Genomic DNA, 15,284 nt, shown 5'->3' on the forward strand with positions numbered 1-15,284 from the left:
GCCCCTTCAGCAGGTGCTGCAGACATAAAACTATCAGTGTCATGGAAGAAGCTGCACAGGTTTGTCTCACTTATACATGGCCTAAATATTAATTTTATTAATTCATTCATCCACCCATCCACCCACCTACCCATCCATCCATCCACCACCCACCCATCCATCCACCCATCCGTCTATCCATCTATCTGTCCACCCATCCATCCATCCGTCCCATCTTCAGACCTGCTCATGTGTTGGGCACTGTGCTGTTTACTAAGGATCAGGGCTGAGTCATCCATTAGGCACCATTATCACAGTGCTAGGACCCTAAAATCGAAAGAAATAAAAAGAACTTTTAGGGTAAAATAAATTTTTAATTCTTTTCTTCACATCACAAAAATAATTTTTTCTGAGACAGGGTCTTGCTCTGTCACCCAGGCTGGAGTGCAGTGGTGTAATCATAGCTCACTGCAGCCTCAAACTCCTACACTCAAGAGATCGTCCCACCTCAGCCTCCTGAGTATGTGGGACGACAGGCACGTGCCACCACACCTGGCTAATTTTTTACATTTTTTTTTAGAGAGATGGGAATCTCACTATGTTGCCCAGGCTCATCTTGAATTCCTGGGCTCAAGTGATCCTCCCACCTCAGCCTCCCAAAGAGCTAGGATTACAGTGTTAGAATACCATGCCCAGCCCCCAAAATAAATTTTTTAAAGCACATTACTCTATTATGATAGGAGGGGTTGATGAAGGCAAAGGTGACTGGGGTCCACCAGCCATGACGCAGCTCTGCTGGAGCACAGGGAAGATCAGTCCATCCCTGGTCTTCTGGAACACTCAGGCAAGTGGCAGAATCAGGTGTCAGTCAACAAGTCAGTCCCTCTTAGTCTTGCTTCTGTATGGCTTTGTCCCTTCACATTCCCTCAGGCCTCACCTCTGCTGCCAGATCCCACTTCCTATACTTAAGATCATTCATTCATTCAACAAATATCTACTGAGTTTCTTCTGTGCACCTAGCACCATGCAAGAGACTGGAGATAAAGCCATGAAGAGACAGGTGCACATAGAGCCTCCAGCCTCCTCAAATCATGATTTCTCACAGTGTTTTCATCTTGGCAATGACACTCATCTGCTTTGACAGAGCAACTTCTCACTTATGCACTGGACATGACAGCGTTTCTACCTGACTGGTGGTTCCCAGCATCCTCTAGCCTTAGCCCATTTCATGCCCACATGATTGATACCTGGTTTTCTAAGGTACAGGTGTCAGAAGAACCACAAGGACGGGTTATGAGCTGACATCCACTTTGATAAGCAGGGGCAGAGAACCAGTCCTTTGGCTCTGGACCGCAGCAAGAGGGTGAAGGAAGGACTGGCCTAAGCCATGGGGATCTAAGGTGGGCAGGAGTGGCAGAGCAAAGATTACTGGAAACCAGGAGACTTAGGTCTGATCTTTGGGTCACTAAACGACTTTGGGCAGCACTCTTCCTTCTTCCTTCCTTCCTTCTCTGTGCAATCATCTTCATCTGTAATATGAAGGGATTAGATCACACATGTGTCACCAAGCCCCCTCCTGACTACATGGCAGGTAGCATTAATTGATCACAGCATTCTTTCCTGCTGAGCCCAGATGTACTGCAGGCCTGTCCACACCAGGCTCAGGCAGCTTCACCCATTCACAAGGGTAGGTCATGTCATTGACACCTGCCTGCCGTCCTTAGACTGGGACTCTATCCTGCTTCTTGCCCCGACTACATATTGGAATTATCTAGGCAGGTGAATAAAATGCTGAGTCCTAGGCTTTACCCCAGAGCCTGGGGAATCTGAATTGATCTGGGGAGTCTGAATCTGAATTGATTCCCTGACTGATGCCTGATTCTGCCACTTGACTGCTTGTCCCAGAAGACCAGAGATGGACTGATCTCCCATGCGCTCCAACCTGGCTAGAGGACCCCGGGCAGTTTCTCTTTCATCAGCCCCTCCAACCATAATAACCATAATAGATTTTCATGCGCTTTAACCCTGGGGAATCCTGAATTGGAATAGGACTCGGGAAGTTTTTCAAAGCCTCTGGGAGATTCTAATGTGCAGACAGGGCTGAGAACCGTTAGTATAGTTTTCTTGCTCAAGAATTCTATGATTTTTGTGAGAAGAGAAGATAGAAGATAGGTAGACATTAAACAAGAATCACACGAATCAGATCAAAATAATTGCACCCTGGAGTTGTTTCTGTGTTACAGCAGCCTCAGTATCCCTTCTCATTCCCACTATTTTCTAGCCTCCATGCATGTTCTAAGAATTTTCCAGCTCTCCTTTTATGGAAGACAACTCGCCCAGGTTTGCCGAGGCGCAATAAACAAATTAGTTGCAGTCCCCGCCCTGTCCCCTGAGAGGCCTCAGGATTAAGGTTTATGATTAATGATTTCCAAGTCAATTAATCAGCCACTGCTTTTGAAACCTCATTTCTCAAATTACTTTTCTTTGAACACAAGGGCTTTTTGATATCACCTTACTGTCTCTAGATTCACTTTCCTACTAATTGAAATTCCAAGATATTTCTTCTTTTTGTCAGCTTATTGGTGTTACTTGTTTATAAAATATTTGCAAACACATTACTATTCACCTGTAGTGTGTCAGAGGTAAGCACCAAAACAATACTTTATGCTTTCGGCTCAAAGGAATGTGCTAATGAAAGCTCATGAAATTCTCTATCTATGAGAAAGTTGATTTTTCATTTATTGATTTATTTTCACCACACCTACTTGAAACAAGAATTTGAGATGTATTACAATAGAAACACAGGTACATCAAGGCTCCAAACAATTCATGTAGATGATTTCTTAGAAAATGGTTTCTAAGATCATATTAAAACTGGATATGGAGTGGGAAGGATGGGATTGGTTTTCTTCATTAGGGAAAATAGCAGTATCTAGCAGAGGATCTGGGGTCAAATCCCAGTCTCTCCACTTACAAGTCTTAACGCTTGACTCATCTGATTATGTTGTTATTTTGGGGAGGCAAGGCTGCGAGAACAAATGCAAACAAAAATGGCTTGAACTCAATGAAAATTTGTTTCTCATTCAATGATAGTTCAGGACAGGTGTTCTTGGCCACCAGGTTGCTCCCCTCCATGTGGTGACTCAGGGACACAAGCTCCTCCTTCCTTGTAGCTCCCTGCTTCCCTGGGGTTTTGTGGTCCTCTGCATTCAGGTAGGCAGAGGGTGAAAAAGCACAGAGAGGAGGCACAGCTGTTCTTTTCACCCTCCCACCACAGAGCAGCACAGCACAGCCATGGTCAGTATCATTGCTGCCCACATTCTGCAGGAGAGAAGTTAGTCTCGTGGCCTCACCTAAGTTCAAGGAAAGCTGAGAAGAAGAGCATAGTATCTTCCAACCGTAATCCTCTTATGTTATTATTTATTTTTAAGTGAGATGATGTGTGTAACATACCCAATGCAAAGCATGTAGTAAATGACTATGTGTTTTCAAAATAGTGACCATTACCATCTGCTTTGTTTGCAGTTTCAAGCCACAGTCGAGGAAGGAGCTGTGGGAGTTATTGTCAATTTGACAGTTGAAGATAAGGATGACCCCACCACAGGTGCATGGAGGGCTGCCTACACCATCATCAACGGAAACCCCGGGCAGAGCTTTGAAATCCACACCAACCCTCAAACCAACGAAGGGATGCTTTCTGTTGTCAAAGTAAGGGTGCTTCCAATTGCCTCTTTCTCCTCATGCGAGCACGGAGGGCCCCATGAGGCAGCTCATAGAATCATTGAGTTTAGAAGGCCACAGATAAATTCCCCCAGTCTCCTCCTTCTGGGAATTAACAAAGGAAAAGGCTCATGGCTTAAGGGTGCACTCGTATCCTCAGCAGCATAAACAAGCAGCCATAAAACAAACCTGTTTTATAGGTTCTAAAATACCCAAACTTATGTGTAACTTTAAGAAAACCAAACTTAAGTGCATTTTTTATTTTGTTTTCATTTTTGTTTTTTGAGACAGTCTCACTCTGTCACCTAGGCTGGGGTGCAGTGGTGTGATCTCAGCTCACTGCAATCTCCGCCTCCTAGGTTCAAGTGATTCTCGTGCCTCAGCCTCCTGAGTAGCTGGGATTACAGCTGCCTGCCACCATGTCCGGCCAGTTTTTGTATTTTTAGTAGAGATGAGGTCTCACCATGTTGCCCAGGCTTGTCTCAAACTCCTGGCCTCAAGTGATCCACCTGCCCTGGCCTCCCAAAATGCTGGAGTTACAAGTGTGAGCCACCATGCCTGGCCCAAACTTAAGTTTTAAATGAAATTCTTTATACATTTGCTAAGGAATTATTAACAGATATGCCAAAATGAGATGTGTGAAGGTGTTTTTAGAGATCTGTGCTCAAAACGTGGGCTACGACATGACTTCTTAATCTTCCTTAGTGAGCTCAATTATTCCTTAAAAACACACACAACATAGTTATTGGTGTGAAACCCTCTGTGACCCTTGCTAACTCACACACTGACCCTCTCTATGGCAACAAGTAGAACAAGGAGGAAATGTAATTATAAATGTAAAACCTCTAGCTCATGCTGGTAATCCAGAAATATTAGTGGGGGTGGTAGCACAGAAGGCTTGCTACAGGTGGCCTTGGTATTCTGGGAGAAGGCATTTCTACACAGTTTCACTCTTTCTGGGAAGTTCTGGGGAGAGTTTCTGCCAGAGACCAGGACCTTCATGGGAACACATTTTCTTTTCTAGTGGATGAAGCCATTTGCCTGAGCAGCAGGGATCAATTGTATTTATAGTGATAGTACCAGTGGGCAGAGCAGGGAAATGGCTGCCCACTCCCTGTGTGCCCTTGGCCAAGACACCCATGTTTTCTGTGCACCAGTTTCCTCATCTGTAAAATGAGAATGTTAATGTAACCTCCCTCTTAGGGTTGTTGTTGTAATCCATTGAGTTGTTATAATGAAGTACTGTAGGCTGGTGGCTTATAAACCACAGACATCCATTTCTCACAGTTCTGGAGCTTAAAAAGTCCAATATCAACCTTCCAGTAGATTCTGTGTCTAGTGAGGACCCACTTTTTGATAGATGTCCATCTTCTTCTCTCTCTATCCTCACATGGTAGATAGAGTGAGGCAGCTCTCTGGATTCTCTTTTTTTTTTTTTTTTTTTTTTTTTTTTTTTTTTGAGACAGAGTCTTGCTCTCTCACCAGGCTGGAGTGCAGTGGCCTGATCTTGGCTCACTGCAACCTCCACCTCCTGGGTTCAAGTGATTCTCCTGCCTCAGTCTCCCGAGTAGCTGGGATTACAGGTGCATGCCACCACACCCAGCTAACTTTTGTATTTTCAATAGAGACGGGGTCTCACCAGGTTGGCCAGGCTGGTCTTGAACTCCTGACTTCAAGTGATCTGCCCGCCTTGGCCTCCCAAAGTGCTGGGATTACAGATATGAGCCACTGCACCCTGCCAAATCCTGTTTTGCTCATATCTATTTTCCTTGAGCTGTAGCAAACACATTTTGGGGAGGCCTGAGCTCCAGGATATGTGATGGAGATGTCTATTTACCCAAGTTTTATCTTCCAAACTTCAGGTCTGGAAAATTGTCTGACAGATTTTATAGACTCAGGACTAGCCACGGAGGACAGCCAGTGGCTATGTCATTCTATGACTTTTACAGCTTCGAAAGTGCAACAGCCATGGACACAGAGGGCCAGTGCCAGGGTTTCCTAATAACTTTGCCATTGCCCAATACATTAGTGCTTTTATGTACTTCGTGCATTACTGCTAGTCCCCATGAATAATATACAGTACTATAATTGCTTATTCATACATAGTACATTCATATATAGGAGTACATTACAAACCTAGTCTACATACACATAAGCACGTATTAACAATCCCTTAATTAACTATCGCACATCTACTGTTGTCAAGTACACAATAAAACCTAATCCATACGAATACTGACCCGTACTAGAAATCCTTAATATTACGTAGTACATACATTCGTTCATCGGACATAGCACATTGCAGTCAAGAAATCTCTTGCCAACATGGATATCCCCTACCAAATTTTGGCCTCTGAATCTACCAATCTCCGAGAAATCATCCCCGCTCAGGAGTACTACCCTCCTCGCTCCAGACCTATAACACTTGGGGGTGACTATTCTGAAACTATACCTGGCATCTGGCTCTTACTTCAGACCCATAACATTAAGATCACCCACATGTTACCCTTAAATTAAGACATCTCGATGGACTAGTGACTACCAGCCTATTAACCAACCTTGGCAACAGAGTGAGACTCTGTCTCAAAATAACAACAACGAAAAAAGAAAAAAAAGAAAAACCAGACTTGCAGGAAGGAGCCATTCTCCTCTCCCTACATTCCTGTGCTGGTCCACAATGCAGTGGCTCTCAAATGCTAGCATATATAAGAATCATCTGCAATGTTAGTTAAAATGCAGATTTCTGGGCTTGCCCCAGACCTGCTGTGTCAGAATATGAGAGAGAGGTGTGCCAGGTGGTTCTGTTGTTCACAGGGCACACCACTTGTCAAGGGGCATGGCCTTAGGGGAAGCAGTTTCCATCAGCTTGTCCGCCCTCCCTGCAAATTCCAGGGGAAGAGGTGCCCACAGAGGCTGATGCTCTTGCTGACTTCAGCTTTGCTAGTGAGTGGACTTTCTTTGCTTTGGAATTGGGATGCAGACTCTCCCTCACCCCACATTGGCTGCCTCCCAGGTCAGTAGGAAGGGCCTTGAGTTCTATCTGTCTCTCAGCACATGTGAGGCAGAGCCCCAGAACACCTTCTAGAAGCCAGCTAGGCCATGCTCTCTGCTGCTGTCCACTGTGCCAGCCACTGGTGCAACCATCAGGGATGCATTCTGTTGCAAGTAACAGAATGTTAGACTAATAGTGGCTTAACTAATGAAGGGAATTTAAGAATTTTTATAACTAGATGAAGGTAGGCCAGTCCAGGATTGGCCAACAGTTCCAGGTGGCAGAGAGCCAGCAGTGGGGTGCCTCAGATGCTTTTGACATTTTCCTCTTGGACATAAAGTAGCTGCCAAAGCCCCAGGCATCATATCTTCCCATGATGCTGCATCCTAATGCAGGAAACAAGGAGGCAGCCAGGCAAATGAGAGAAGGTGCTCTTATGAGACCCTCTCCTCTTATCGGGGCAGAAAACATCCTTTCTAAGGGTCCCCCGGCCAATTTCCCGTGATGTTTCATTGACCAATGACATACGTTCTTCCTTAACTTCAAGGAAAGCTGAGAAAGTCCAAATCTGGCCTTTGGGCCTTTACAGTGCATAAGGCAGAGGGGGGCTGGTGATTGCTGTTGGGCAGTCAAGCACAAGCAGGTCTGCCCTAACCAGTTAGCAATCCAACATACAGAAGAACTATTTGGAGTCTCAGGATGCTGCTGGTTTCCAGCAAGGTCCTGCCACTTAAAAGGACCAAATCCCAGTGGCTCTGACAGATGAGTGTCGGCTTCGTCTTTAAAACCTTCAGATCAGAAGCACCCTTAGCTGCTTTCTAAACCGATTCTAAAACCACCAGAAAGTTATTCTTTCAGCTGAATATAATCAACCCTACATTTTAAGTTTATTTTCTATTCTGTCCTCAAAGAAGGTAGTATCCAGAAAGCATCCGTTATTCCCCAAACCTTTCACAGGCCTAAACATAGCTATTCATTCAGTTCTGGATCCTCCCTCTTCCAGCCAACAAACCCAGGTCCTCCATCCTTCCCATGTGGGTCAACTTTTCCAGGCTTTAAATTTCCCAGGGCAGTGGTTTACACCCTCTCTTGTCACTTGAAAAAATATTAATTGAATTGCCTCTCTGTAGCTTCCATCAGGAGTATTTTCAATTTCCTCCTGTCCCTGACACAGAGGCCCAGCAACAGACAAAGCACATTAGTAAGATTGTGTGCTTTGTGAGATCTTGGAGGGCTTCTTAATCCAATTACAGCACTCCGAGGGGATTAGGAACAGAGACCCATGTGTCAGCAGCTCCAGGTGGTCTGGCCCTGGGCATCATACAGCTGGAGTTAGTAGATCCCACCTTAGGCAAATGGAAATAAACATTAGCATGGCCCTGCTCCCTTCCTAAGGCCAGCCTCACATTGTATGGCTCCCTCCCTCGCTGCTCCCCTCCCTCTGTGGCTTCCTGCATGGCATAGTTCCTCTGAAGCCAGCGTTCCGTTCAGGGAGTGTCAGCCTGGGAACATAGGAGAAACACTGGGGCCGGGGAAATGACTCTTGCAGCTCTTGCTTCCCCACTCTTCTTCCTCACCATCTTAACAGCTTCTTGTTATTGATACCAACACCAGGCCTAGCTCCATGGGAAATATTCAACATTCATCCTGTCCGCTGATCTTTACAACAATCCTCTGTACTAGGATTTTATTGAAGAGACAGCTGAGACTTCAGGGGAGGCAGTGACTTGCTGGTGGTCCCAGAGTTATGATGCATCAGGGCCAGGACTTGACTGCCACCCATCTTTCTATCTAATAAAAAAATAGGGAATTTAAAAGGCAGAAATATCCAAGAATGTTAGATTTTTGCACAATCAAAATAATAGATAATTGTGTTGCACAAGTCTAGTGCTAGAGAAAAGCACAAGAATTACAGTCAATTCATTCATTCATTCATTCATTCATGCAATATTTATTTAGAGCCCACTATGGTCCTGACACTGTGCTAGGTGCTGTGTATTCACTGGTGAAAGAAATGGTCTCTGTCTGCAGCCTCCCAGGCAGCTTATAGTTATAAGAGCAAGAACTTTTGCTGCAAATAATGACATCCCCAGGAAAGAAGGAGAGGAGGAGGGAGGGAGGGAATTGTCTCCTTGGGAAAAAACAACCAGTTGTCCCCAGCCGAGGAAAAGGAGCTGAGCGGCACAAATTGGTTATTTCCAAGCATTTTGACTGTCTCACTTGTCAGCAGATGGCTGGATTCCCCAGAAACCCCACTATCCTCCTGCTTGTGCATACGTCTCCGGCTGTGGAGAATCAGATGTCAGACCAAACTAGGCCAAGATTGTGATTAGTGCTGGTGTGGGGTGGAAATGGCCCTTGGGGGACTGGGGTGCTCTGCATCTCACTGCTGTTCAGAGGGCCCACCCTCAGCGTCGTCATGGCCCAGCAAGCCAAAGGCTCTGTCCCCTCCAGGATCCTAATTGAGATGAATAGCTGTATTTTCCAAGCATGGCAGCTCCCTGGCCCTGGTTTGAGGTTTACTTTACCGAAGTTGCACATTCTGGCATCACTTGGGATGGACAGAGATCCATTATTAGGATCCATAGAAAGAAGGATAGAATGGTGAATTACTGCTGTGTTACAAGGATTGAACCGACACATCACTGTGCAGCCACTCAGCACTAAGAGCTTTGCATCTGTTAACTCTTAAAATCCTATTACTGACCCTGCTGGGAGTTGTTCTAGGTGAAGAGAGGAAGTCCAGTTACAACCAGGAAGCATCTCCAGTGTGTGTATGTGGGCACACACTCTCCCATGTGTGGCGTGCTTAGCACTGAATACATGTCAGCCGTAATTATTATGAAAGTGACTTTATTTGCCTAAAGACACTCTGACCCAACCTGCCAGATTCCATTCCCACCTCGGTGCCAGCTCTTTCCCCAGCATCAACGGTCCTTATCTCTGCTTTCATTTTCCCATGTCCACTGCAACCTCTACAACTGTTGTTGCTTACTTTTAGTTGAGTGTAAATCAAATCTCTTGACTTATTTAGTCTTGTCCTTCTTGCAAGAATACCCATTACGGCATGGGTCTGATGGGTTAGCTGTTTGTTCCAGTAAGCATTAGGAACTTGATAGAAGCAGTATGCCCTCATCTTACCTAAATGTCTCCCCATGCACCGCTGACAGAGACCCACTCTGGGAAATGCTGCACCCACCACATCATGTGCTCTCGTGGTTGGGAAAGAGAGTGACAGACACTCAATTGGCAGCGCCATTGTATTACCAATGTTTATCATGGAGTTTCTTTGACATCCTCTGGTTTAGTCCACACAGTGGCTGGGGGAGGTAGATACTATCAGCCCCCTTTGCAAAATCACCTAGAGTGGTCCTCATCAACGCTGCCCATTGACACTGGGGTAGGACAATCCACCATTGTGTGGGACTGTCCTGGGCATGGCCTTGAGTCTAGTATTGCTGTCCCCCGCCCGGCAAATGGTTGTAGAGCCCTCGAGTCAATTGAAAATGCTCCCATACATTTTCACATGCCCTCAGTTGGGCCAGGGCCCAGCGGCTTAACTCCATGTGGCTCAGACTTTCAAATCCTTTTCCCTACATCATACTCTACTAGAAACCATGCACCCAGGCTATACTTGAAGGGACATAGAGACCCTTTAACTTCATGGCAAGTGAGTGAGAAACATTAAATATAAAACTTTGGTTTTCCTGTTCCATTTGATCCACTGTGATCACAGAGGCAGGGTTATCTTGCTATAAAGCTACTGAGGATTGGGCGTTGGAGTCTCATTTACCAGAGCCCCCGTGGGTGTCGGGGGTACGGAGTTACAGGTTCCAGGCAGGGAGGCTTTAGGCATCACCATTGCCAGGGAGTTGCCTAACGATATCTCAGAGGGAGGCTCACTAAGGTTCAAGTCACTCACTGCCCAGATCACTAAGGTTCAAGTCACTCAGTGTCCGGATCACTAAGGCTCAAGTCATGTGTTGTCATTCATTTCTTAATCAAAAACACAAAAACAAAAAAAAACCAACATCCATACTTAATCTCACATTTTCATGTTTCATATTCTTTATCTTAAAGATAGCCCCCCAGTTACACAGGCTTAGCCTCCAAAGCCCAGCTCCATCCCTGAAGGCCCACTGTTGCTCGTGGAATTTCAGAGGAAGTTGATGCAAACCACCTGCCTTTTGTGGCTGGTGTGCATCCTGAGACCCTTCTGTCTGCTTTCCAGCCATTGGACTATGAAATTTCTGCCTTCCACACCCTGCTGATCAAAGTGGAAAATGAAGACCCACTCGTACCCGACGTCTCCTACGGCCCCAGCTCCACAGCCACCGTCCACATCACTGTCCTGGATGTCAACGAGGGCCCAGTCTTCTACCCAGACCCCATGATGGTGACCAGGCAGGAGGACCTCTCTGTGGGCAGCGTGCTGCTGACAGTGAATGCCACGGACCCCGACTCCCTGCAGCATCAAACCATCAGGTGGGTGAGTGGCTCCGGAACCACAGACGGGAGGTGGGCAGGAATGGCTTTTCCTTTCCAGTCGCAGAAGCTGGTTGTCAGGAGCAGACACCATTAAATTAAACTTGTTAACAATCTCAGCAAGTGGGAGGAAAGCGTCATAGAGAGGAGGTTGTGGCTGACGGCTGCAGAGGGCCAGGCTCTTTGGTGAGGATGCTGCTCCCACCTGATTCCAGCCTGGGAGAAGAGTAGCTTCAGTGCTGTGTTCCCAAATGACCAGCCGGGTCTGCTGGCCCTGAGCACAGTCCTTGAACGGAGAGAGAAGGGAGCCACTCTGGGTGACCTCCTGCATCTCAGAAACTTGCCTACTTTGTCATCAGCACTGCTTTATGACAAAGGTTTTGCTAACTCCGTTTACAGATACAGGTATTGTGGATTCGCAGATTCGTAGAGGTTCGGTACTTGCTCAAGCAGCCCAGCTTGGTGGTAGAGGAATCAGGATGGAAACAGGACACTCTGCAAAGTTCATGCTCCTTCTAGCTGCTCAATGCTCACTGACTCTGAGCTGCCAGAAGGGGAAGGAGCAAAGTCACTTCCTGGTGCTTGGAAATAGACCATTGGGATTGGCGTTCTGCCTGATGAGGGGCAGGCAAAAATTAATAATAATAATGTCTTCAGAAATTTCTGTCTTCATTTCTTAAGCTCTGCCCAGTGCTTAGATAGAAAGCATTTTCGTAATGAGATTTAATTAAATGGTCGCTATCCACCCGTGGTGCATCTAATGCTCACAAATAAAAGATGCCCTCGTTGGTACATGGTTTCACAATAAACTTAAATCAGCGTGCAGATCCAAATGCACGCCTGTCTCTGCAGAAGAAAGTTATTAATGTTCCTCCTCCAAAATCTAATCTTCTTCTCATATGAGGTACAAATAATCAAGTATTGGACACACTTAAAACGAACATGTGTCTGATTTTCCTGATTTGAAACACCTGAAAATGTGCAACAGGGACTGAGTCAACCACTTTACTTTAGAGCAAGCCGGTGGAGAAGAAGCAGAAGTTATTTTCCAACACCAAAAGTGGATTTATTTTTACGGCTAAGCTTTCTGAATGCCAGATGAACTAGACAAGCGTGTGAAATAATACCAAATCCTATAATAATGTGAATCTGAAATAGCCATTCTTTTTTTTCTTGTTGCTATCTGACAATGGAAACATGCAATTTAAACATCAAAGAGAGAGTCTTTCTTAAGTACTTAGATGGGAAAACTCGTAGCTTAACAGACTACAAGGTAGTTGGACAAAGGTAGGATGTCTCCAGGTGAGCTTAAGTGTCATCTTGTATTTCTACAATTGGAGGTGAAAGCAGGGACCCTGGAGGCAATAAAATGAGTTAAATCAGGTTGATGTTTTGGACCCTGTGTCTCTGCCATTGCTGGGACAACTTGGGATGCTGCCAGTCATGAAAGAGCTAATGCAATGGGTAGGGGTGGATGGAGGTGTCTGGGACCCAGGACTAGATGTCCTACTAAGATGGGACAGACAGTGGGAGAGGAAGGTCAGGCTGGGTTGTTTGATTAAGACCAGCTCTGCTGACTTGGGCAAAGAAAGAACGTGCTGGAGGACCCTATGGATACTATATACGATGGAGGAATATCTGAAGAACCCGCTCGAGATAGCACAGGAGCTAGGGCATCCTTCAGGCTCTAGGTCACAGGAACAGACAGACTTGCAGTTCAGGATCTCACAGTGAGAATAAACCAGCTCCAGCTGTTTTCCATTCTAGTGTCACTCGGCCCATGGTCACATTCCCAGGGCAGCTCTGCCTTGCTGGAGCTGGGGTCATGCACCTCCCTGCTCCAGGCACCTTGGCTAGTGATCAACCGGGATGATGTTCCCAGATACACAGCACAGAGGGCCGCTGACTGAGAAGGAGGGATGAACATCCTGTCTGGCAAATGAAGCTTACTGCTGGGAGTATGGAGGCAGCCCATAGGTGCAGTCCCAGCAAACTGAGTTAGGAACAGGATTCCAGCCTGGGGAGGGAGGGGTGCCTGGGAGAGCTGAGACATTAAGGAACATCCAGGCCAAGATTTGAGCCATGGGGAGCAAAGGTCACCTTACTATTAAACAGCACAGGCAGATAAGGGACTTCATCCTACCGCTGTGTGAGAGAAGAAGGAGGTCAGAGAAAGCAACCTAGAAATGACTTGAGGTGGCACCTGTGGGGAGAAGCTGGAACGCAGAAAGTTCTGAGGATCTTCCTGTTTCTCTAGCCAGTGTAATCATCACAGCTTTGGCCTTCCATCACAAATGACTAGTACCCAACTCACAGTGACTTATGCCAAAAGGGGTCCTGCTTACTTGCATAGGTCAGCGCACCTAATGGAAAAGTCCATGGGAACAAAGGCCTCCAGCATGATGGAATTCAGGTGCTCAGAACATATTCCTTCTCTATATCTGGCTCTGCTCTCCCCTGGGTTGTCTCCATCCTCAGCCATATTTGCACATCTGTAGAGGGAAGAGGGAAGAGGCACCAGCAAACACCTCTCCTTGATCCTACCAGAGGAAAGCAACATCTTCCTTCCTAATCAATAGCCCAGCCCAAGGCCCAGGTTGAGTCACAAGCACAACTCTCTGAACCAAGCAGAAGATGAGCAGGACAGATTGTGCCACGAGTCCTGGTGCCTGAGCCTGCCACAGACCCCAGCACCCAGCTGTGAGGGCCTGCAGGGGCGGCTACCCGAGGAAGTGCGGGAGGCTAGTCCCAGAGGATGGGAACAAATGCTGTGTAATCAGGAACCACAGAGAGCCCCTGGCCCAAAGGTGAACCTTGTGAACCCCACAGAAAATAGAGCTGCAGTGTGTCTCTGCAGCTGGTCTAAGAGTTCTAGCATTTACAGATTGGCCTAGCTGAGTGATGGCAGGACCAATCCCTTTCCCAGCCGTGGAGCAAAGTAAATGTGTGTGTGCATGTGCATATGTGTGTGCTGCACACATTTCTCTCTCTGGCCTCACTCCTCAGGCATATTCCTTCCTGCTGGGAGCCACAGCGGCCCACACGTGACTCTTTCTCAGCCTGGCACTGGCTGGACACCCCCTTTCCCCTCCTCCGTTCTTCTCCCCTTCACTCCCTCCTACCCACCTTTCCCTCCTTTCTCTTTCTTCCCCTCCACCCCTCTCCTCTCCTGGAGTAAAGTCGGGATAACATCACCGACAGGTTGAGCTATTGTCATGGGAGCTCTTTGGGAAAAAGAGGCTCATTAATTATTTGCAGCCTTTGATCCTGCACACTGAGAAGTGCTCTCCCTTGGGGCCTGTGTGTGCAGAGGAGGAGTGGGGCTGCAGAGAGGGGCCAGGATGGGAGACACTTTTCTAATCTAATCATCTGCGCTGGGCTACCCCGGCTTCTCAGACAGATGCAACGGCCTTCCAAGTTGTGATGTTACTGCTGTTGTGATGATTCTTCAGGGAGCAGGCACTGGAAGAAGAAACTTAGCTGGAAAAGAACTCTTCCTTCTTCTCCTCCTCCTCCTCCACAAAACAGGAATCAGGTGTCTCCTGATAACATTTTAGTATCTCTAATATCTTTTTCTTCTTCTTCCTTGTGTTGACTGCTGATGTGATACCTCTGTTCTTGTCTTCTTAGTTTAAAAGAATTTAAACAAGAGACACACACCAAAAGAAGTGCAGCATAGAGTAATCTACTGCAACAGAAAAAGAATATGTTGAAAGTTAGGTGCAGAATAGCAGTATCCTCTGAGAGAGATGATTCCGGGCAGGCTGCTCACAACAATGAGGCAGCAAAGACCCACACCAGGGAGGCTCCCTTCTGGGAGTCTTCCATGATTATTCATAAGGAGGTGGGAAGAGGCGTTACTAGGAAGCTGTTCTGGGTGGTCTTCCGGGTGCACATGTGCAGCAGCTGTACAAGGTCGTTCATAAGTCGCATGTCTCTTTAGCATCTAAAATCTCCACCCAGGGCTGTGTTTTTCACAATTATGATGAGCAGAGTCAGTTTGAGGACAGGTAAAATTAAAATGTGCATGTTCTGTAGAGGGGAAAGTCGCCACTGAAGACAGCTTTGCTTGAATGAGCTCACTGACTGTGCGCATCCTGAGATTGAC

General features: G+C 46.5%; 1 protein-coding gene and 1 long non-coding RNA gene across 6 annotated transcripts in view, besides 2 other annotated features; one reads left to right on the forward strand and one right to left on the reverse strand.

Moving 5' to 3' along the window:
* CDH13 (cadherin 13) overlaps positions 1-15,284 on the forward strand; it is a 1,173,672-nt gene that overhangs the window by 1,040,317 nt on the left and 118,071 nt on the right. For all 5 annotated transcript variants that reach the window (NM_001220488.2, NM_001257.5, NM_001220489.2 and 2 more), the window contains 2 exons: positions 3,505-3,687; positions 10,923-11,176. In NM_001220488.2, the coding sequence (NP_001207417.1) occupies positions 3,505-3,687; positions 10,923-11,176 (437 nt within the window). The remainder of the gene's footprint in view (positions 1-3,504; positions 3,688-10,922; positions 11,177-15,284) is intronic.
* The window catches only part of LOC124900603 (uncharacterized), a 42,544-nt gene that overhangs the window by 1,994 nt on the left and 25,266 nt on the right, over positions 1-15,284 (reverse strand). The window contains exon 2 of the long non-coding RNA XR_001752385.3: positions 223-306. This is a non-coding gene — a long non-coding RNA (uncharacterized LOC124900603). The remainder of the gene's footprint in view (positions 1-222; positions 307-15,284) is intronic.
* Positions 13,393-13,894: an enhancer, noted in NCBI's record as "H3K4me1 hESC enhancer chr16:83714283-83714784 (GRCh37/hg19 assembly coordinates)". NCBI's record gives its function as "activates a minimal SCP1, AML or CMV promoter by ChIP-STARR-seq in naive H9 embryonic stem cells {active_cell/tissue: H9 hESC(naive)}" and the evidence as "EXISTENCE:reporter gene assay evidence [ECO:0000049][PMID:30033119]".
* Positions 13,895-14,394: an enhancer, noted in NCBI's record as "H3K4me1 hESC enhancer chr16:83714785-83715284 (GRCh37/hg19 assembly coordinates)". NCBI's record gives its function as "activates a minimal SCP1, AML or CMV promoter by ChIP-STARR-seq in naive H9 embryonic stem cells {active_cell/tissue: H9 hESC(naive)}" and the evidence as "EXISTENCE:reporter gene assay evidence [ECO:0000049][PMID:30033119]".

Source organism: Homo sapiens, chromosome 16, assembly GCF_000001405.40.
Source record: "Homo sapiens chromosome 16, GRCh38.p14 Primary Assembly".
NCBI classification, from domain to species: domain Eukaryota; kingdom Metazoa; phylum Chordata; class Mammalia; order Primates; family Hominidae; genus Homo; species Homo sapiens.